Source organism: Homo sapiens, chromosome 3 (assembly GCF_000001405.40).
Source record: "Homo sapiens chromosome 3, GRCh38.p14 Primary Assembly".
Classification (NCBI taxonomy): Eukaryota; Metazoa; Chordata; class Mammalia; order Primates; family Hominidae; genus Homo; species Homo sapiens.
Window position 1 is genome coordinate 121240794 of NC_000003.12, and position 21052 is coordinate 121261845.

Here is a 21052-nt window from a genome sequence, read left to right on the forward strand (position 1 = left end):
AAAGGCCCTTACAAACACTTATCTATTTCTGCCAAATTCAGGAATCACTGCTCTGTATCTGTACGAGATGGTTATTTTAAATATTTCTCAAAACTTACAGCACCAGAAATAACACTCCTTTGTATGACAACCCACTTGATGTTTTAATATTAGGAACAAAAATAGAGACATAGCTAATGATAAATATGAGATTTAAAAAGTAATTAAGGGATCTGCTAATGGGAAGATAGAGTAAATATATTTTTTCCTATTCTTCCCACTAAACAACTAAAAACTCTGGATATTACATATAAGACAAACATAAGATGACTGGGAAATGTGAAGACGCATCAGACCAAGTAGGACCCCTAAGTCTTAGAGAATGACATGGAAGTCAGTTCCCTAAGTTTTCTTTCTGCCTCATATATCCCAGAATTAGAGCTAAAGAAGCTAGTAACCTAGAACTGGGAATAAACACAAATTAAAAATCCCAACAAAATCTAGCTCTCTTTAATCATAGAATGAAGAAAGTGGCAGTGTATCAAGACAGAAAACATATGGAAAATAATCTCTCTACTTAGGTTTAACAACAACACACACACATACACACACACACACACACACACACACACACACACGCACACACCTTTCTCCCACACACACAAGTGTGGCCCCACCCCAACTCACTCCAGTAAAAGCCAAGTGGAGAGCTTAGAGTTTCACCCTTATCAGGGTATAATGAGGTACCCCCAACTTCCCCAGAGTGTCAGATAAAGCAGAGTAGGGAGCTGGGGCTTTGAATCATGGTGGGTGAAACCCCTCCCCTGTGGTGTCAGTGGGGAGCTAGAATTCTCACCACTGCCTAGCAGTAATGAGTAGCTACCACTCCCTATCCCCTTCCCTGTGTCAACAGAAATAAATGAGGAAGGAAGAGAAGAAAGAGGGTGGGACTGCAAAGTATTAAGGAAATAATGGCTGAAAACTTATCAAATTTAGCAAAACAACATGAACCTTCAGATTCCAGAAGCTGAGCAAACCCCAATAAATCTATACCAAGATAAATTATTGTCAAACTTCTGAACAGTAAACACTGAAAGAAAAAAAATCTGGAAAGCCACAGTAGAGAAATGACATCTGACCTATGGGGCCAAACCAATTTGAATGACAGCAGAGTTTTCATCAGAAACCCTGCCTGCCAAAAGGAAAAATGAGTAGTTTTCAAGTACTGAAAGAAAAGAACTATCAATCTTGAATCCTATAACCAATGAAAATATCCTTCAAGAATTAAGGCAAAATCAAGATCAAAATCTATCATTTCCAGATGCAATAAACTAAAAGAATTTTTCAACACCAAATCTACCATTAAAAAAGTAGCTAAAGGAAGTTCCCTACACAGAAAGGAAATGAACCTTGGTTCATCAAGAAGGAAGAAATAATGCAATAATAAAAGTATGGATAAATACAATAGGCTTTCCATCTCTTGGATTTTTAAATGTATATTTTATGGTTGAAGCAAAGATTATAGTAACAGAGTCTGATGTTACTATAATCACATTGTCTGGTGTGGTTCTAAATGTGTATAGAGGAGATATTTAACACAATTATAAATAAGAGAGGGTAAAAGGATGTAAATAGAGTTAAGGCTTTTATATATCTTGAACTGGTAATAAGATGACACTCATAGAATGTGATAAGTTGTGGTACAATGTAATACCTAAAAAAACTGTAAAAATTATGCAGAGGTACACTTAAAAACACTACTGACACGTCAAAATGGAAGCACTATAATAATTCAGGTAACAGGAAGGCAGAAAAAAGGAAACAGAAAAAATTATATGGTATACTGAAGCCCTAATATATCAATAATTATATTAAATAGAAATGGTCTAAATACTTCCATTCAAATATAGAGATTGACAGAGTGGGTTAAAAACATGACCAACTATATGTTATCTGCAATACACTCACTTCAAATATAACAGCATAGACAATTTGAGAGTAAAAAGACAGAAAAAAAAACTAAAAAAAGAATTAATTGAGAGTGATATCAACAAGGTGACAGAATAGGAAGCCCTAGACTTTGTTCTCCACAGGCACACTTACTTTACAACAATATGTGGTCCAAAAAGCCATTAGGACAACTTCAGAAACCGTTTAGGAAGTCACAGTACCCCAGACAAGCTCAAAGCCAAGAATGGTCACATTGAAATGGGTAAGAAAAGCAGGGCGTTTCAGCCACATCAGTCCTTTTTCCAAGCTGGCAGAGCTCACAATTAGGAGGAAAAGTGCAACTCATGGCTTCACCTTTACTCATGGCTTCACCTTTTTGAGGGAAAGAAAAGAGCGGAAGATATACACAATGTTCTGGATATATGTTATAGCGGCTGCTCAAGGGACTAGTTTCTGTGTCATCTGATAGAGATCTGGCAAACTTTGGATTCCTGGGTGCCACTGAGAGCAAAATATATTTCAGTGGCTTGTAGCATCAGAGAACCTGCAGTATTTCAGACAGATACTAGAGCAGCAAGATACTACAAGTTCCTGAAAGAAACTGGAAAACTTCACTAGTTAGGAATTACATGCACAAGCCCAGAGAAGACAAATTCCCATAAAAGGTTTGAGAGGCTCTTAGAATGTCTACCTGGGCTGATTTATGAAAAATGTTCCCTGTACAAAGTCAGTCCATAAGGATATGACTAATTTTTCACATTAAAGTCAACAAAAATAAAGCATACAAAGAGACAGGGAAACATGGCCCAATCAAAGAGACAAAAAAAAAAAAAAGTCCAGTAACTGATTTTAACCCTTTTCCTACTTGCCCCGAGAATACTCACTGGCAGCACTTGCAGCTATAACATTTATGCCAAGATAACTTTGCCTCAAAATATCTCACTTTTATTATTATTGTTGTATCACTCTAGTATATTGACTTTGGAAATAAAAGACATCATTCTATTTATAGCATTCTGGTTTTAGTAGTGGTATTTCCATTTACAAAATATAGTAATTCTCCATCACTGAAAATGTCTTATCCTAGGAAACATAGCATTCCTACGTGTGAAGTTAACATCATTCTTGTACAGTTGTTGGCTGAGGATTCATTTGGTGAATTTATTTTTTCCGAAATAGACTATTCTGATGTTAGTTCTGTTCAGAAATAACTCCAGGAACAGCTTTCATATTTTATTTTCACCTTGAAAACCAGTCAGATTTTCTTCAGCCTCAAAAAGTGTGTTTACGTAAAATTAAAGGAGCACTGGAAGCAAACTGTACTTTTTATTCTAAATGGGAAAAGGGTTAAAGAAACAGAAATCTGTGTATTACCTGACAAAGAGTTCAAAATAATCATCTTAAAGAAACTCAATATATTAGAGAATACAAATAGAAAACTAAACAAAATTAGGGAAATGATGCATGAACAAAATGAGAATATCAACAGAGTTTGAAATTATTAAAAAAAAACAATTCTAGATCTGAAGTATATGATAATTGATTTGAAAAATTCATTACAGAGTGTCAACAACAGACTTGGCCAAGCAGAAGAAAGAATCAGTGAACTTGAAAATAGGTCACTTGAAATTATTGAGTCAGAGGAACAAAAAGAAGAGGGCCTAAGAGCCTTACAAACACATTCAAGTGGACTGATGTACACATTATGGGAATTTAAGAAGGGGCGGGGAGAGAGAGAGAGAGACAGAGAGAGAGAGAATGGAGTAGAGAGAATGGAGCAGAGAGCTTACTTGAAGAAATAATGGTCAAAAATTTCCCAAGTTGGAGGAAAGAAATGGAAATTCAAATTCAAGAAGCTTAAACAAGTCCAATAATATGAACCCAAAGAAGCTCATAAAGAGACACATTATAATCAAACTGTCGAAAATCAAAAACAAAAAGAAAATCTTGAAAGCATCAAGAAGAAAAGTTCTTATCACATGCAAGGAAATCCCCATGAGATTGTCAGCAGGTTTTTTAGCAGAAGCATGGCAGACTAGAAGGGAGTGGGATAATATACTCAAAGTGCTGAAAGAAAAAAAACCCCACCAACTTAGAATGCTATATTTGTCATAACCAACTTCAAAAATGAAGGAGCAATAAGACCTCCCTATATAAACAAAAACTGAAGGAATTCATCACAACTAGACATGTCTTACATGAATTGCTGAGAGTTCCTTCAGTTGAAACAAACACACTAGACAACACCACCGAAGCATACAAAAACTTAAAAGCTCTCTGGTAAAGTTGAATTTATAGACAAATATAGAATATCGTAAGATTTTAAAGATGGTGGATAAATCACTTTGATTTCTGGCATATAATTTAAACAATAACAACATAAAAATTACTATAATACTATGATAATAGATGCAAAATATAAAAATATGTAATTTGTGACATCAATAACATGAAGAGATAGTGAATGTAAAGGAGTAGATTTTTTGTATGTAGTTAAAGTTGTTATAGTTTAAAATAGATTGGTATAACTAGAAGATATTTTATGTAATCCTGATGGTAAACACGAAGAAAATGCCTATAGAAGGTGCACAAAAGAAAATGAAAAAGGAATAGAAGTATGTCACTAAAAAAAAAAAACAAAACCCAAAGGAAGCCAGCAAGAGAAGAAAAGAAAGTCAAAATAACCACATAACATATAGAAAATAATAAAATGGCATTAGTAAATTATTCTGTACCAATAATTATGTTAAATGTAAATTGATTAAACTCCCTAATCAAAAGACATAGAATGGCTTGATTGAAAAAAGTAGAACTATATGCTGCCTCCAAGAAACTCACTTTAGATTTAAGGACACACATAGGTTGAAAGTGAAAGGATAGAAAAAGATGTACCATGCAAATTGTAACCAAAAGAAAATGAGATGAATACATTTATATTGGACTTTAAGTCAATAACTCACAAGGGACAAAGAAAGACATTACCTAATAATAAAAGAGTCAATCCAACAGAAAGATATAAAAAGTACAAATATGTATGAACATAACAACAGAGCATCAAAATATATGAAGCAAACATTGACAAAATTGAAGAAACAAACAGAATAACACAATAATAGTAATATATTTCAATATCACATTTTCAGTAATGAACAGATCAACTAGACAAAAGATCAAGAAGGAAACAGGGTATTTGAAAAACACTATAGAACAATTGGGCCTAACAGACATACAAAACACTATACCTAGCAATAGGAGAAAAATATTCTCCTTAAGCACACATGGACCTTGTTCTAGGATAAGTAATATGTTAGGCCAGGGGTCCACAACCCCTGGGCTGCAGACCAGTACCAGTCCATGGCCTGTTAGGAACTAGGCCACACAGCAGGAGGTAAGTGGCAGGCAAGTGAGCATTACCACCTGAGCTCTGCCTCCTGTTAGATCAGGGACAGCATTGGATTCTCATAGGAGTACGAACCCTATTGTGAACTGCACATGCAAGAGATCTAGGTTGCACGCTTCTTATGAGAATCTAACTAATGCCTGATGATCTGAGGTGGAACAGTTTCATCCCGAATCCATCTCTCACCACCCGCATCTGTGGAAAAGTTGTTTTCCACGAAACTAGTCCCTGGTGCCAAAAAGGTTGGGGAGTGCTCTGTTAGACCACACATCTGTAGATGCAAGTTATTAGTAATGTTAGTTCTTTGGTTGAGTGGTTTCAATACGATTATATTCTGTATATTAAATCTATGTTACATACATTGTTATTTTCATATCAAGTATTACATGATGAAAAATAAAATAGAATTAAATTTTGTAAGGGTATATAGAGTCTCAGATCAACATCCTGCAGATTTTTCAGCAATAAAATTTAAAAATATCTATAAGTTTATAATTAGAGTAAACATACAAAGTCATTCATAGCATCTTTATTTGTAACAGCCAAAAACTGAAAACAACCCAAATGTTCATCATTTGGTGAAGGGGTAAGTAGAGCATATCCATACAATGGAATACTATTTAGCAACAAAAAGGAACAAATTATTAATACATGTAAGAAATATTATCCTCAAAAACATTACGCTAAGTGCATAATGCAGACACAAAATGTAGTAGATATTATGTGGGTTCCACTTATATAAAAATTCTAAGAAAAAAAGAATCTATATAAGCAGAAAGTAGATTATTGGGGATCTACTAGGGATGAGAAAGAGGGTTGCAAATTGCCATGAGGTAACTTTTTGGGGTAATGGAAATGTTCTAAAACTGGATGATGGTGTCAATGTGACAACTGTGTAAATTTACTAAAAATTATCAAACTGTACACTCCCAGTGGGTGAATTTTATAGTTATGTAAATTACATCTGAATAAAGCTGTTAAAGTAGAGTAAGCCACTCAGTGACTAACCCCCTCTCAAAATAAAAAATCAGTTGGCTATATACATATGGTTCTATTTCTGGACTCTCTAATATGTTTCACTGATATATGTGTCTGTTTTTCACCACTAGCACAAAAACTTTATTGGAGCTTTAGGGTGAGACTTAAACCTTATGTAGTTTGAGTTCTCCAACTTTGTTTTTATTTTTCAAAATTGCTTTGGCTAATCTAGTTTCTTTTCTTTTGAAAAAATAATTTCAGCTTTTATTTTAGATTCAGGGATACATGTGTAGGATTGTTACATGGGTATATTAGACACAGGTAGCGAGCATAATACCCAATAGGTAGTTTTCAATCCAAATCCCTCGCCTTCTCTCCCCACTCTAGTAGACTGCAGTGTCTATTGTTTCTGTGTTTATGTCCATGTGTACTTAATGTTTAGCTCCCAGTTATATGTGAGAACATGTGGTATTTAGTTTTCTGTTCCTGTGCTGGCTTACTTAGGATTATAGCCTCCAGCTCCATCCATGTTGCTGTAAAGGACATGATTTCACTCTTTTTTTATGGCTGTGTAATATTCCATGGTATATATGTACTATATTTTCTTTATCCAATCCACTGTTGTTGGGTACCTAGGTTGATTCCACATGCCATTGTAAATAGCATGGCAATGAACATATGAGTGCATGTGCCTTTTAGGTATAATGATTTATATTGCTTTGGTTATATACCCAGTAATGGGATTGCTAGGTCAAATGGTAGCTCTGAGTTCTTTGAGAAATCTCCCAACCGCTTTCTACTTTCAGTAGTGGCTTAACTAATTTACATTCCTACCAACAATGTTTAAGCATTCTCTTTTCTCTGCCATCTGGCAAGCATCTGTTACTATTTGACTTTTTAATAATAGCCATTCTGACTGTTGTACGATGGTATCCTACTGTGTTTTGATTTTCTTTTTTTTTCTTCTTTTTTTTGATTTTTGAGACAGACTCTTGCTCTGTTGGCCTGGCTGGAGTGCAGTGGCACAGTCTCGGCTCACTACAATCTCTGTCTCCTGAGCTCAAGCAATTCTCCTGCTTCAGCCTCCCCAGTAGCTGGGATTATAGGCATGTGCCACCATGCCTGGCTAATTTTTGCACTTTTAGTAGAGACAGGGTTTCACCATTTTGGCCAGGCTGGTCTAGAACTCCTGACCTCAGGTAATCTGCTGGCCTCGGCCTCCCAAAGTGTTGGGATTACAGGCATGAGCCACCGTGCCTGGCCATGTTTTGATTTTCATTTCTCTAATGATTAGTGATGATGGCATTTTTTCATGTTTGTTGGCTGCTTGTATGTCTTCTTTTGAGAAGCATCTGTTCATGTCTTTTGCCCACTTTTTAATGGGATTATCTGGTTTTCGCTTTTTGGTTTGTTCAAGTTCCTCATGGATTCTGGGTATTAGACATACTTTGTCAGATGCATACTTTGTAAATATTTTCTCCCATTGTGTAGGTTGTCTGTTTAGTCTGTTGATAGTTTCTTTTGCTGTGCAGAAGCTCTTGAGTTTAATTAGTTCTTACATGTCAATTTTTGGTTTTGTCACAATCATTTTTGGGGGCTTGGCCATAAATTCTTTGCCAAGGCTGATATCAAGAAGAGTATTTCTTAGGTTTTCTTCTAGGATTTTAGTAGTTTGAGGTATTACATTTAAATCTTTAATCCATTTTGAGTTAATTTTTGTATATGGTGAAAGGTAAGGGTCTAGTTTTCACTCTTTTGCATATGGCTAGCCAGTTATCCCAGCACCCCTTTATTGAATAAGGAGTTCTTTCCCCATTGTTTGTTTTTGTCAGCCTTGTCAAAGGTCACATGGTTGTAGGTGTGAGGCTTTCTCAGTTTTCTCTTCTGTTCCATTGGTCTATGTGTCTGTTTTTGTACCAGTACCATGCTGTTTTGGTTACTGTAGCCTTATAGTATAGTTTGAAGTTGAGTAGTGTGATGCCTCCTGCTTTGTTCTTTTTGTTTAGCTATACAGGTTCTTTTTTGGTTTCATATGAAATTTTGAATAGTTTTTTTTTCTACTTCTGTGAGGAATGATGTTTGTAGTTTGATAGGAATAGTGATGAATCTGCACATTGCTTTGGGCGTATGACCATCAGTTTGTTTATTTCTACAAAAAATTGTTTTACCATATTTTAATTGTGATTACATTGAATTTATATGCCATTTAGGGGAACAAACATCTAATAAGTCATACAATTATCAATAATATATATCTCCTTTTATTAATGCCTTATTTTTTGGTCAACATCTTACAATTTTCAGCATACAGATCTGGCACAAATTGTGTTAGATTTTATCTATTTCTTGGTTTTGGCACTGTTGTAAGTGGTACTATTTTGTTATTTCCAAATGTCTATTGCTATTCAATGGAAATGCAATTGATTTTTGTATATTGATATTGTGTGTTACAATTTTGCTAATCATTTATGAGTTCCAGTATCCTTTTTATAGAATCTCTGAGATTTTCTACATAGCCATATAATCTGCAAATACAAACAATTTTATTTCTTCCCTTTTAGTCTGTATGCCTTTTATTTCTTTTTCTTCCCTATTTCAGTGCTTAACACCTCCAATAAGATGTTGAATAAGAATGGTGAGAGTGAACATTTTTTTGGCTTTGCTCCTGATCTTAGGGGAAAACATGCAATCTTTCATTATTATGTATGTTAGGAGATATCTGTAGGTTGTTCCTACACACCCTTTATCTGGTTATAGAAATTTCCTGTGTTCCTAGTTTATTGAAAGTTTTTTTTAGGAATGGATGATAAATCATGTCAAATGCTTTTTCTGCATTTATTGAGATGACTATATGGATTTTCTTTTGTAATCTGTCAATATGGTGAATTTTAATATGGTAGTTGATTTTTTAAGTGTTTGCCTTACATTCCTAAGAAAACCCACTTAGTCATTATGTACTATCCTTTCTATATATTACTTGATTTGTATTGCCAATATTTTGTTGACAATTTTTATGCCTATTCTCATGAGGAATATCGGTTTGTAATTTTCTCTTCTTGTAATGTTTTTATGTGGTTTTGGTGTCAGGGTAATGCTGAGTTCATCAAAAGTGTTGGGAAGTATTTTATCTTCTTCTATTTTCTCGATGAGTTTTTATAGAATTGACATTTGATTATTACCAAATAATGATGCAACTCTAGATATATTTGGTGATTTGCTTTTATATTTTGAAACTTAACTGAATTTTACTATGATATTCAATTCATATTTATATTAATATCAAAATTATCTATCCTTTTATTGAATATAAATAATTTTACATGAAAATATGTTGTTCACTTTCCACAGGCCATTTTTCATTGTTCTCCATTACATATATAACCTTTTTACAGTAAAGTCTAAGGAATTATTGTTCTTTTTCTAATCTTTAGATTTTAGTATATTGTTTAAGAAATGAGCCATTGTTTTAAGCTTAGAAATGGTTTAGCATACATTAGTTTTCATTAAAGTGGTATTTTTGAATCAAAATTGTATCAACAGTAACTCAAGTTTCTGTACATTTGGAGTGATTATGATTTTTATTTAGTATACTTTAATTAATGCTAATTTATTTCTCATCTAGTCATGCAGATGGATCAATAAAATTTTGGGATGCTTCTGCAAGTAAGTTTCAAGTTTCTGTACAACAGAAACCAATTGGTTAATATTTACTTATAGCCAGCTACCACTTTTTAGTTTGGGCAATTAAAATTTCAGATATATTTTTAGCACACATATGTGGCTGTGTTACAAAAATCTATTACCTACACTGTTAGATCAGTTGAAAGTATTATCTCTGCTTTACTTCTCTTCTATAATATAAGGTAAACAAGACTAAGTCACTCTTTGTCAGCAACCCATTATATCTACAAGAGGCATGATACATCAGAAAAAGTACCAAACTCTGTTAAATTAACTCTGTTCAAGGAATTTCCTTCACCCTCTACCTGTGTGGTCTTCGCCAAGTGCTTATATCCCTCTAGTCTTCACTTTTTTTTCCCCACTCATCTACCACATCCTGCAAAGATCAAATGATTTGATAACTATAAGAACTCTTTTTAAATTCTTGAGAATTATGTAACTTACAGAATAAATAAGGTACTCTGCTCAATGTTGAAGGAATGCAAAGATACTTAAGACTTCATTATACTCATATATACCCTTCAGAAAAATTGTAGTCATTAGAAAAGATAAAGAAATGCACATATATAACTATAGGGAAAACAATATAAGAACTCTCAATGCAGTACCCCAGATCTGTTTGCTATCAGAAATGGGAGAGTCTTATTGAGACCTGGTAGATCCAGGAAAGGTATTTTGATGGAGTTAACATTTAGTGTGAGTTTTGGAAGTTAGTTAACTTTTGACAGGAATAGGAGTGAAGAACAAGTTAACAGTGACTCTAAGTTTCTGAAGATGAGTAACCAGGAAGATGTAGGTAACTCTTTTGGAAATAAGGAATAAAAGAGAGCTTTGAATTTTTTAGTAAAACCATAAAATTCAAGTAAAAATATCCAGCAGGTAAGGAGAACAGTCAGAAATGGAAACCAATGAAGAAGCAGCATAAAAGTGATGTTTGAAGCTGTAGAAATGAATAGCTTCTGAGGAAGACTGCAATAAACACACAAGCAGAGGAAGAAGGTTGAATATTGATGATACTCTTAGCCCACAAGGTAGAGTCCCTTGAGCAAGCAAACTAACTATCAGCAAGAGAAAAGGATTAAAAGATCTAAACCCACACATTCTGAAGTCCCCTTCTGACTTCACATAATAAAAAGCAACTGCCTAAAGAGAAACTCCAAAGGACAACAGACTTTCTGTTGATGAATCTTCTCATGCAAACCTGAGTTTGTTCCTGGAACAAAATTCATTGCATAGTGATGCCATTGCTCCTTTCCCACCACCTCAAAGTCACTTTTTGGCTTTTAAAATGTGGAGGGCCAGGCGCAGTTGTTCACATCTGTAATCCTAGCACTTTGGGAGGCCTAAGCAGGCAGATTGCCTGAGCTCAGGAGTTCAGAACCAGCCTGGGCAACACGGTGAAACCCTGTCTCTACTAAAAAATATATAATATAAATTAGCTGGGTGTGGCAGCATGCGCCTGTGGTCCCAGCTACTCGGGAGGCTGAGGCAGGAGAATTGCTGGAATCTGGGAGGCAGAGGTTGCAGTGAGCCGAGATCACACCACTGCGCTCCAGCCTGGGTGACAGAGCAAGACTCCATCTCCAAAAAGAAAAATAACAAATAAATAAATAAATAAATAAAATAAAATTTAGAGGACACTTTAACACTTTAATTATTAGAGTGAATAACACCCTTAAGCATGCATAATAATATTTTGAGAAGTTAATTTTTAAATAAATATTTTATCACATTTAGAATATAAATTGCAAATGATTGCAGCATGTTTAATATTTTCACTGTAATCAAGGTCATATCTCCAACTTAATGGATGTCTTAAAAAAATTACTTAGTTTGCTAACTTTGTGAAACACTGTCTAATACAGAAAGCAAAATGAATTTGAATAACTGAGTTTATATTATTATGTATCTTAGTTTTCTATTGCTGAGTAATAAATTACCACAATTTAACAACTTAAAACAATACCCATTTATCATCTCACTGTTTCTGTGTGTTAGGAATTTGATTATACCTTCGCTGGGTCCTTTGCTCAGGGTGTCACAAGACTGTAATCAAGGTGTTGGCTGGGGCTGAGGTTTCATGAGACTGAAGGTTCTCTTCCAAGCTTATGTAATCGTTGGCAGACTTCATTTTCTTGCACATTCAGAGCTCATGGTAGCTTGCTGCTTCAAAGCTAGCAAGAGTGTCTCTTTACCTTCAGGGAGGGCCTCAGTCCCTCTTTTAAGGGGGCCATCTGATTAGGTTTTGGCTGTTAAGAATAAGCTCTTTGTTGATTAACTCAAAGTCAACTAATTAGGGACCTTAATGATGTCTGCAATATCATTTTACTGTTGTCATGTAACATAAATAATCATAGGAATGATACCCTATCTGACCTCAGAAGCCAGGCTATAGCACGCAATACAATCCTTTGTCTATTTTTTAAAAAATCTATTTTAGCTTGACATAATTTCAAGCTTACAAAAACATTGCAAAAAAAAAAAAAGTACTATGAAATGGTTTATACCTCTCAACCAGATTCTCCAAATATTCCTTTCCTCTCCCTGGCTCTCTCTTTTACTCTTTATCTCTTCCTTCCATACATTTTTCTCTCACACACATACATATATACATATAGCTTTTTTTCTTACGCATTTGAGAGTAAGTTGGAGACACATTACATACCCCTAAATACTTCAGTGTGTATTTCCTACAAACATTCACTTACATAACCAGACTTCAGTCATCAAAACCAGTAGATTAACACTGACACAACACTATTATCTAATCTCCGGATTTTATTCAGCTTTTGCAAATTTATATATATACATATATATGTGTATATATATGTATATATACACATAAATATATATACTTTTTTTTTTTGACGGAGTCTCGCTCTGTCTGCCCAAGCTGGAGTGCAGTGGCGCAGTCTCGGCTCACTGCAAGCTCCGCCCCCTGGGTTCACGCCATTCTCCTGCCTCAGCCCCAGTAGAGTAGCTGGGACCACAGGCGCCCGCCACCACGCCCCGCTAATTTTTTTTTTTTCTTTTTTTTTTTTTTTTGTATTTTTAGTAGAGACGGGGTTTCACCACGTTAGCCAGGATAGTCTCGATCTCCTGACCTGGTGATCCGCCCACCTCGGCCTCCCAAAGTGCTGGGATTACAGGCGTGAGCCACTGCGCCCGGCCGCAAATTAATATTCTTTACGACAAAAAAATCCAGGATTATTTTTGCATTTAGTCATTGTATCTTCTGAGTTTTAAAAACTCTGGAAAAGTTCCTGAGTCTTCATTTCATGACACTGACATTTTTGAGGAGTTCAGGCCGGTTATTTTATAGAATCTCCTTCAGTCTGGTTTTGACTAATGTTTCTCATTATTAGATTCAGGTGATGCACTTTTCACAGGATTCATATTTAAAACTTTACTCAAGGATCCTTTGTAGAATCATAGTTCTTTTATAGAGTTATTATCATCATGGTCTCCAATGGAAAAATATTCCCCCAAATATTCTTAAAAACAGTTCACAAACACAATGTATGAGATTATATCTGACCCTTTCTTGACACAGAGCCACTCAGAAAAGATCCCTTCTCAAATAGTTACAGATTCTTGGACTCCCAATATTGCTAACTGGTAAATTACAATGTTTCTTATCTGAAGGAGTGTCTAAAAATTTGTTGAGAGTAGTAAACCCTCTAGGAATACCATCAACCTCTCACCTAACAATCAAAGGGGAAAACTGAGATAAAGAATAGAGGAGTCTCCGCTAGGGAAGAATTATTTTCAGTATTCCCATTTTAGACTTTCTGTGCCCCAATATTTTTATCAATAAATAATGATAAAAATACTTCCTTCATGAGACTTTTCTGAGAATGACACAAGAAAGCAACTATATATTCCTTGGTATGTAGTATATATTCAAGGAATGTTTATTTTTTTCCCTGTAGTCTCCCTCTAGCTGCTGTACTGATATGAAAGCGTGGCATTGAATGCTTTACTGGTTAAAATGTAATTCACTTTGTCTACTTAGGTTTACTTTTGTTGTTTAACAAATATATTGGAAAAGCTTTAATAACATCTAAGAATTAAGTTTAAATTAGAAGATAACTGTGCTTCGATGTCTTATAGTAACTCTGCAGATGCTGTACAAGCTAAAAACTTCAAAAGTGTTTGAAAAACAGAAGGTAGGAGAAGGAAAACAAACATGTGAAATTGTAGAGGAAGACCCATTTGCCATTCAGATGATTTACTGGTGTCCAGAGAGCAGAATATTCTGTGTATCAGGAGTCTCTGCATATGTCATAATTTATAAATTCAGCAGACATGAAATTACAACAGAAATAGTGGTAAGTTATTTAAAATTTAACTTTCACTTTTACAGTTATTAAAAGAAAGCTATTATCATAGATTTGACTACTACTTGGTATGGTTTCCATGAAGTGTGCAGTATGTGGCTAGTAATACAATTCACAGGATTTTAAATTATTATTGTTACTTACTATAACATATTAATAAATGATTTGGCCTAAAAGGCCAAAACAATTCTCTATCAAAACTTGGTATTTTTTTCAATGTCAAAACAAGCTTAGTATTTAAGTTAATCTTGTTACAAATTAAACATGTTACAATTTTCTCACTTTTCTCTTTGATGTTACATGAGTTGCATCTACCTGGCCGAAATAAGTCAACTCTACAACATGATGTTTTGAACTATGTATATATTGTGGAATATACACCTATATATTCTTCTATATATACTAATAAAATGTATAGGTTTTATACATATAGTTATTGATTTATTTTTGTATAAAAATCAAATTAATGCAGGCTTTGTTCTATACTTTTATTAATTTTTAAGTTTATCTGATTTGTATTTTCTCATCAACTGTTTGACATAAATAATTATTTCTCAGCTACAATAAGGTTATTTTTAATGATTTTCTATGTAGCAACATTTTTATGGGGTAGATCTAATTATGGGGCAACCTTACCTAATCTTAATTTTTAAATCAACGAAATACTCTGCTTATTCAAAAGAATAATGATTTTATGGGATAAATTAATTCTAAATGAAGCCACCTATAAACAACTGTCCTTCTCTACCTTGCCCCTTTTACCAGAATATAAAGATTATTTACTATAGGCCTGGGTATAAGTGTTTTTACCTCAACAGCTAAAATTAATATCACCCTTTTATTGTATAGTAGCTGAAAGCTAAGGCTTTGAGTCAGATAAACCTAGGTTTTAATTCTGGCTTTCCCATTAAATATCTGTGTGACTCTGAACAAGCCATAAGTCAGTAGTAGAATGTAGCTATGATTCAGTTTCATCACATGTACAATTCCCTGTGTAAATAAAATGGGAAAATGGAAAATAAAAATAAACTTGGAATATAAATACCAATTTCATAGGGTTCTTGTGATGATTATATAAAGACATTATAATAGTGTCCTTACTGTAGTAAGCACTCAATAATTGGTAACTGTTTTGTCACCACCAGAGGTTTTTCTGTAGTTTTAAAATAATTATGACAATAATTTTGGTGATATTCCCATAATGACATTTTTGTAAGTAATTGTTTTCAATCTTAAAAATGCTCATTTTTACATTATAAGGCAAATATGTGTTATAAAATCAGTTCTAATTAAATCATTTAATGCATTTTATGCATTCATAAAGTATTTAGTTTTAAAACTTTTTTAGTTTAATAAAGGTTTTTAGGTCACCTTTTTATTCCTATGTAAATTATTATATGTTTTTTATCAAGTAATTCTGATCTGCTAATTAGATTAAACAAAAGCCAAGGTAATGAAATAAACAACCAAAAATATGGAATTTTGTTTGGAAAATTTTTAGTGAATTAATGCAAAGTTAAAATGCAATGAAAGTTTTTTATACTAAAAGGCTTTAAACAAGTAATTTTTTCATACACACACAAACATACACACTACACACACATATACACGTTTGTGTGTGTATATGAAAAAAGTTTAATTTCTTTCATTGGAATAACCATAATCAACTTCTCCTTTTATTTTATCATATATCAAATTGTAATATATAAATTGTAATTTATACTATATCTTAAAGTATATTTATTATATAAAAACTTTATCTTCACTGAGGTATTTTTCTTTTAATTCTGAAGTTTAAAAATTTACATTTTTTGTGATTGCCATTGAATATTCCATATAATTAACTATTTGATTTAGTATGAGATACTTCTCAACTTTCCTGTAAATAGTATTGAACTTATTAATTTGAAAAAAACTGTGTGAATGATTCCTAAAAAGTTATCAGGTATTTTAATGTGATTATTTATTATGACTTAGATTAAATTAAAACGATGATTATTAGTGTGACTTAAATTAAATTTAAACTTGATTTTTTTAAGTCATTAGAGGTACGACTTCAGTATGATGTTGAAGATATTATTACCCCTGAACCAGAAACAAGTCCTCCGTTTCCAGATCTCTCAGCCCAGCTTCCTTCTTCAAGGAGTCTTTCTGGGAGCACTAACACTGTTGCTAGTGAAGGAGTAACAAAGGACAGTATTCCATGCCTCAAGTAAGAGTTTCTACCAAATTTTCAAACAATTTTAGATATTAATCATATGTCTTTGAAACTGTGACAAATGAAATTAATTTTCTCTTATTATCAAGCTATTGTCAGGTGATCTACAATTCTTCAGGGGTTACTCTGGTCTTTTCTTTGAACATCTGTGAAGAGGGCATAATATTTTCACCCTTCATTCACTTATTTATATATTTCCTTCCCAGAAGGACTCTAAAGAAAACATGGCTTTCACAGAATAGGAAGTTTGGCAGGGCAGAAACTTGGTGACATGCATGATATTTCCAATTGAAAAAGTATGTTTATGGGGTGTGATGGCTCACGCCTGTATTCCCAACACTTTGGGAGGCTGAGGTGGGAGGAATGCTTGAGACTAGGAGTTTGAGAGCAGCCTGGGCAACATAGCAAGACCTTGTATCTACAAAAAATTTAAAAATTAACTGGGTGTGATGGTACACACCTGTAGCTCCAGCTTCTAGGGAGGCTGAGGCGGGACAATCACTTTAGCTCAGGAGTTTAAAGTTGCAGTGAGCTATGGTCTTGCCACTGCACTCCAGCCTGGGTGACAGTAAGACCCTGTCTCCAAAAAAATAATAATGATAATTTTTTAAAGAAGTATGTTTATGTAATTTCTTTAGCTTTCTTGGAATCAAAAAGAAAACCAAGTTTACTATCTACTACAAGAGTTCTATATTAGAAAAAAGGATTTCTCTCATGATTGCTAGTATATTTCATAATCTTTCTTTTTTAAAACTATTTATTAATAAGCTAAACAAAGATTTGCATCATGTTCAATAAAACCTAAAGTTAACAAAGCCCATAGTAATATTTTATGATTTTAGTAATAGAGTATAAATTACTACTTACTGCTTCTATACCATCAAATCAAATATTTCTAGTGTTAGCTGGCTGGAGAATTAAACCTAAGCAGGGAATTTCTTTGAGCTGCATATCTACATTTGCCACTCAAAAAACTTTAGACAGCTAGTTTTCTCATTTCTTACAAATATGCTTATGGAAAATTTAGAGATAAGATTTTAGGAGCAAAATTCATGCAATTAGCAGATGCTATACTTTTGTAATCATTGATTGTCCTCTCAAAATTTTCTTTTGATGTACATAAAAAGAAGGAAATATGAGCAAATATTACTGGGAGGAAAATCTACAAAGAGAAAACATCATCATAAAATTTTAGCTAGTGGATATATTTTTTGAAAGTAGCATCAGTAGTATTTGATAATTGGTTTGTTGGGAAGTATGAGAGAAAGATATTAGTCAGCTTTAAAGGAAAATAGGAATTCAGATGCTAGATATGTTGAACTCTTACACTGGAGGGTAGGTTAATGGTCATTTGTTTTATTGTTATGCTTTATAACTGATATATATGTAACATATATTACATTAGAAAAATAATTACATAATAAAAATAACTTAAAATAATATTCTCAAAAGAAAAAATTGAAATGATAAAGGCCAGTTGAAGTTGTGGACCTAACTGGCTGAAAAGCCACATAAAGAAATAACTAAGTAATCATAAGGGACTCAGCATATTTTGAGAAAACTAGAAGGCACCATCCATCTGCATGCTGCCTGCAATGCCTGGTGTTGTATATTTCTGTAGCATGATTCTATGTAAATTCTCAAGATAAGTTTGACCATGTTTATTTAAGCTGTATATAATAGGATTGTTTTTGTTCTTAAAGTGTGAAGACACGGCCAGTGCGAATGCCTCCAGGATATCAAGCAGAACTTGTTATTCAATTGGTGTGGGTAGATGGTGAACCTCCACAACAGATTACTAGTCTTGCTGTAAGCTCAGCATATGGAATGTAAGTAATTAAACTTTTTTATGATATGTATTATTTAGCTAATATGTTTGATTTTTTAGATGTTCCTTGCTTAAGTCCTAAAAATGAAAAGAAGCCCTTACCTGGATTTTTATTAGATTAAACAATATATAAGAAAAATAATTTAAATTTACATTATGGTTTTTTGTTCTTTCTTGAAGTCAAACCTGTGATAGTGTTCCCAATTTTGATGTTAGTAGGAGATTGTTAGGATTTTATTACACTTAAACTGTGTTGTTTGTTTTTATATTGTCTTTTTTTCTCTTTATATTTCATTTTGGATACTTTCTTTTGACTTATCCTTTAGAGTTCACTAACTCCCTCTTCAACTGTGTCTGATCTGATGGTAGATCCACCTATGGAGTTCAATTTCAGCTATTTTATTTTTCAGTTCTAGACCTTACATTTGATTATTTTAAAACATCCTGTTCTCTTCCTAAATTATCACTCTATTCTTTATTTCTTTGAACATATTGAATGTATGACTTTAAAATGTGTTACTTTAAATATGTGTTTGATACTTCCATATTTGGTATCTAGTCTATTACATTTCTTAGTTTTGGGTCACATTATATTATGTTCATGTATGCCAGTTTGTATGATTTTTTTATTAGTTGTTCCTGGTTTTTTTTTTAATTGAGAAATGAACATTATAATTTGAGGTTCTAGATGATACTTTCCTCCAGAAAGTATCTACATTTCCTCTGGCAGTCTAGGTTAAAAAACTATTGAAGGGTCAGAACAACATAATTCAAGCAGACATCAGGTCTTTGAAAGTTGGATTTTATTCCCATTAAAGCCTAATTTAATTTCAGTTAATCCTTATTTCTAGGTTGTAGCCCTCCACAGAGGTTGTGTCAAACTATACTCCCACCACCAATGTTTAGAATGTCTACTTTCCTACAACCTTTCTAACTACAATGTATAATCAAACTTTCCATCCTGGTCAGTTTGTTAAGTAAAGAGTAGTATGTTATTATAATATCAGTAAAATTTTTGTATATCTTAAGTGAAATTGAACATCTTTTCCTGTTTTGTGACATTCTGTTTCTATTCTTTGTCCATTTGTCTGTAAAGTTGTTGGCCTTCATAGAGATTTGTGAAAACTGTTTGCATATTAGGGAAGTTAGCTTTCTCTATAGTGTAATTTGCAATGATCTTCCCTGCTTTTGTTTGCTTTATGACTTTGTTTAAGATGGTTCTTACTTTAAAGAATTTTTTGCAATTCTATTTTTTGTTATCTTTTATGGCTCTGAATTTGTGTCTTATTTAAAAAGTCCTTCCTCACTTCAAGATAATAATAAAAATTAATAAAAACAAAAAAATTATGTTCTCTCTAATATGCTTTTTTTCTTTTATATGTTTAAATCTTTGATCTGTCTGGAATTTTTTTAAGTATAAGATATGAAGTAAGTATTAAACTATATTTTTTCCTGATGGCTAAGAATTGTGCCAATACCGTTTCCTGAATACTTCATCTTTCTATGCTTATTTGGAATCAACTTTTATCAAATAATACATTACCTTATATATTTCACTTTTATTTCTGTACTTCCTAAGCTGAGTCTTATAAGCTCCAAGAGAATGCCTTGAAACCATCAGTAAGGAGTCCATGGAAAAAAGTCTTATCTTTGAGTACCTGGAATTTTCTTCAGGGGGATGTGGAGGATATATGTGAACATAGAGTATTGGGTGCTTGCTTCTTTACTAGAATATTATTTGATGGGAAAGCTGGCAACCACAGTTGATGGATGATGGGAGAGAAGGAATGGACTGTGGGATAGCCTACTGTTTCATTATTTGATACGGTAAGAATATATGATTATTCTCTAGCCCAAGTAATTACTGTGAAAGATAGTTGAGCTCAAGCCATCTTCTGAGTTCACTTCTCTAGAGTTTGACCTGTAAAGACAAGGGGACTTCAGAATTCAGAGACTATAAAGATGTGTCACCTGGTTCAGAAGCTGAAGTTTGTTAGAATAGATCAGATAAAAAAACACATTTCCCTTATAAGGGAACTGTGGAGGTGAAAGTTATTACAGAGCTTCTGAATAACTGACACTTGTATGAAAATGACAGCTTGGACATCTATCTCATAGAGAGCCTCCACTGCAAAAATCCTAGTTCATGTGGCTACTAGAGTAAATTCCACCAAGTTTTAAAGAAATAAATTTTACAAGTATTACTTTAAATGTTCCTGAGAATTATTAAAGATGAAATCATGTTCATCTCATTTTATGGCCAACATAACTCGATGCAAAAACTTGAAAAGGGTATTACAAAAAGAGAAAGTTGTAAGTCTATATCATTTATGAACATGGATTTAAAATCCCAACCAAAATATAGATAAATCTAGCAATTAAAAAAGATAACATATCATAACCAAGTTTGGTTTACACCAGGAATTCAAAGTTTTTAAACATTTTAAATTAATCAGTGTAGTTCATCACATTAGCAAATAAACTAGAAAAACCATATGATGGTCTGGTCAGGAATGCAAAAAACAAAAACATCTGATAAAATTAAATATCCATTTATGACTTCAAAAGAAACTAATAGCTAAAATGGAAGGAATTTTTCTTAATCTGATACATTTTAGCAAATATGCTCTATGGTGAAATGTTAGAGACTTTGTCTTTGAGGAAAAAATAAGAGAAGT

General features: G+C 33.2%; 1 protein-coding gene across 15 annotated transcripts in view; it reads left to right on the plus strand.

Moving 5' to 3' along the window:
- STXBP5L (syntaxin binding protein 5L) overlaps nt 1-21052 on the plus strand; it is a 516557-nt gene that overhangs the window by 332589 nt on the left and 162916 nt on the right. For 12 of the 15 annotated variants that reach the window (NR_145516.2, XR_924217.3, XR_001740373.2 and 9 more), the window contains 4 exons: nt 9930-9970; nt 14102-14319; nt 16368-16540; nt 18250-18375. Coding sequence is in view for 12 of the 15 variants with exons in the window: in NM_014980.3 (NP_055795.1) it covers nt 9930-9970; nt 14102-14319; nt 16368-16540; nt 18250-18375 (558 nt within the window). In the remaining 3 variants the exon portion in view is untranslated. Of the gene's footprint in view, nt 1-9929; nt 9971-14101; nt 14320-16367; nt 16541-18249; nt 18376-19225; nt 19722-21052 lie in introns of those variants that run through there. The other 3 variants (XM_011513333.4, XM_017007535.3, XM_011513332.2) reach the window with 2 other exon arrangements.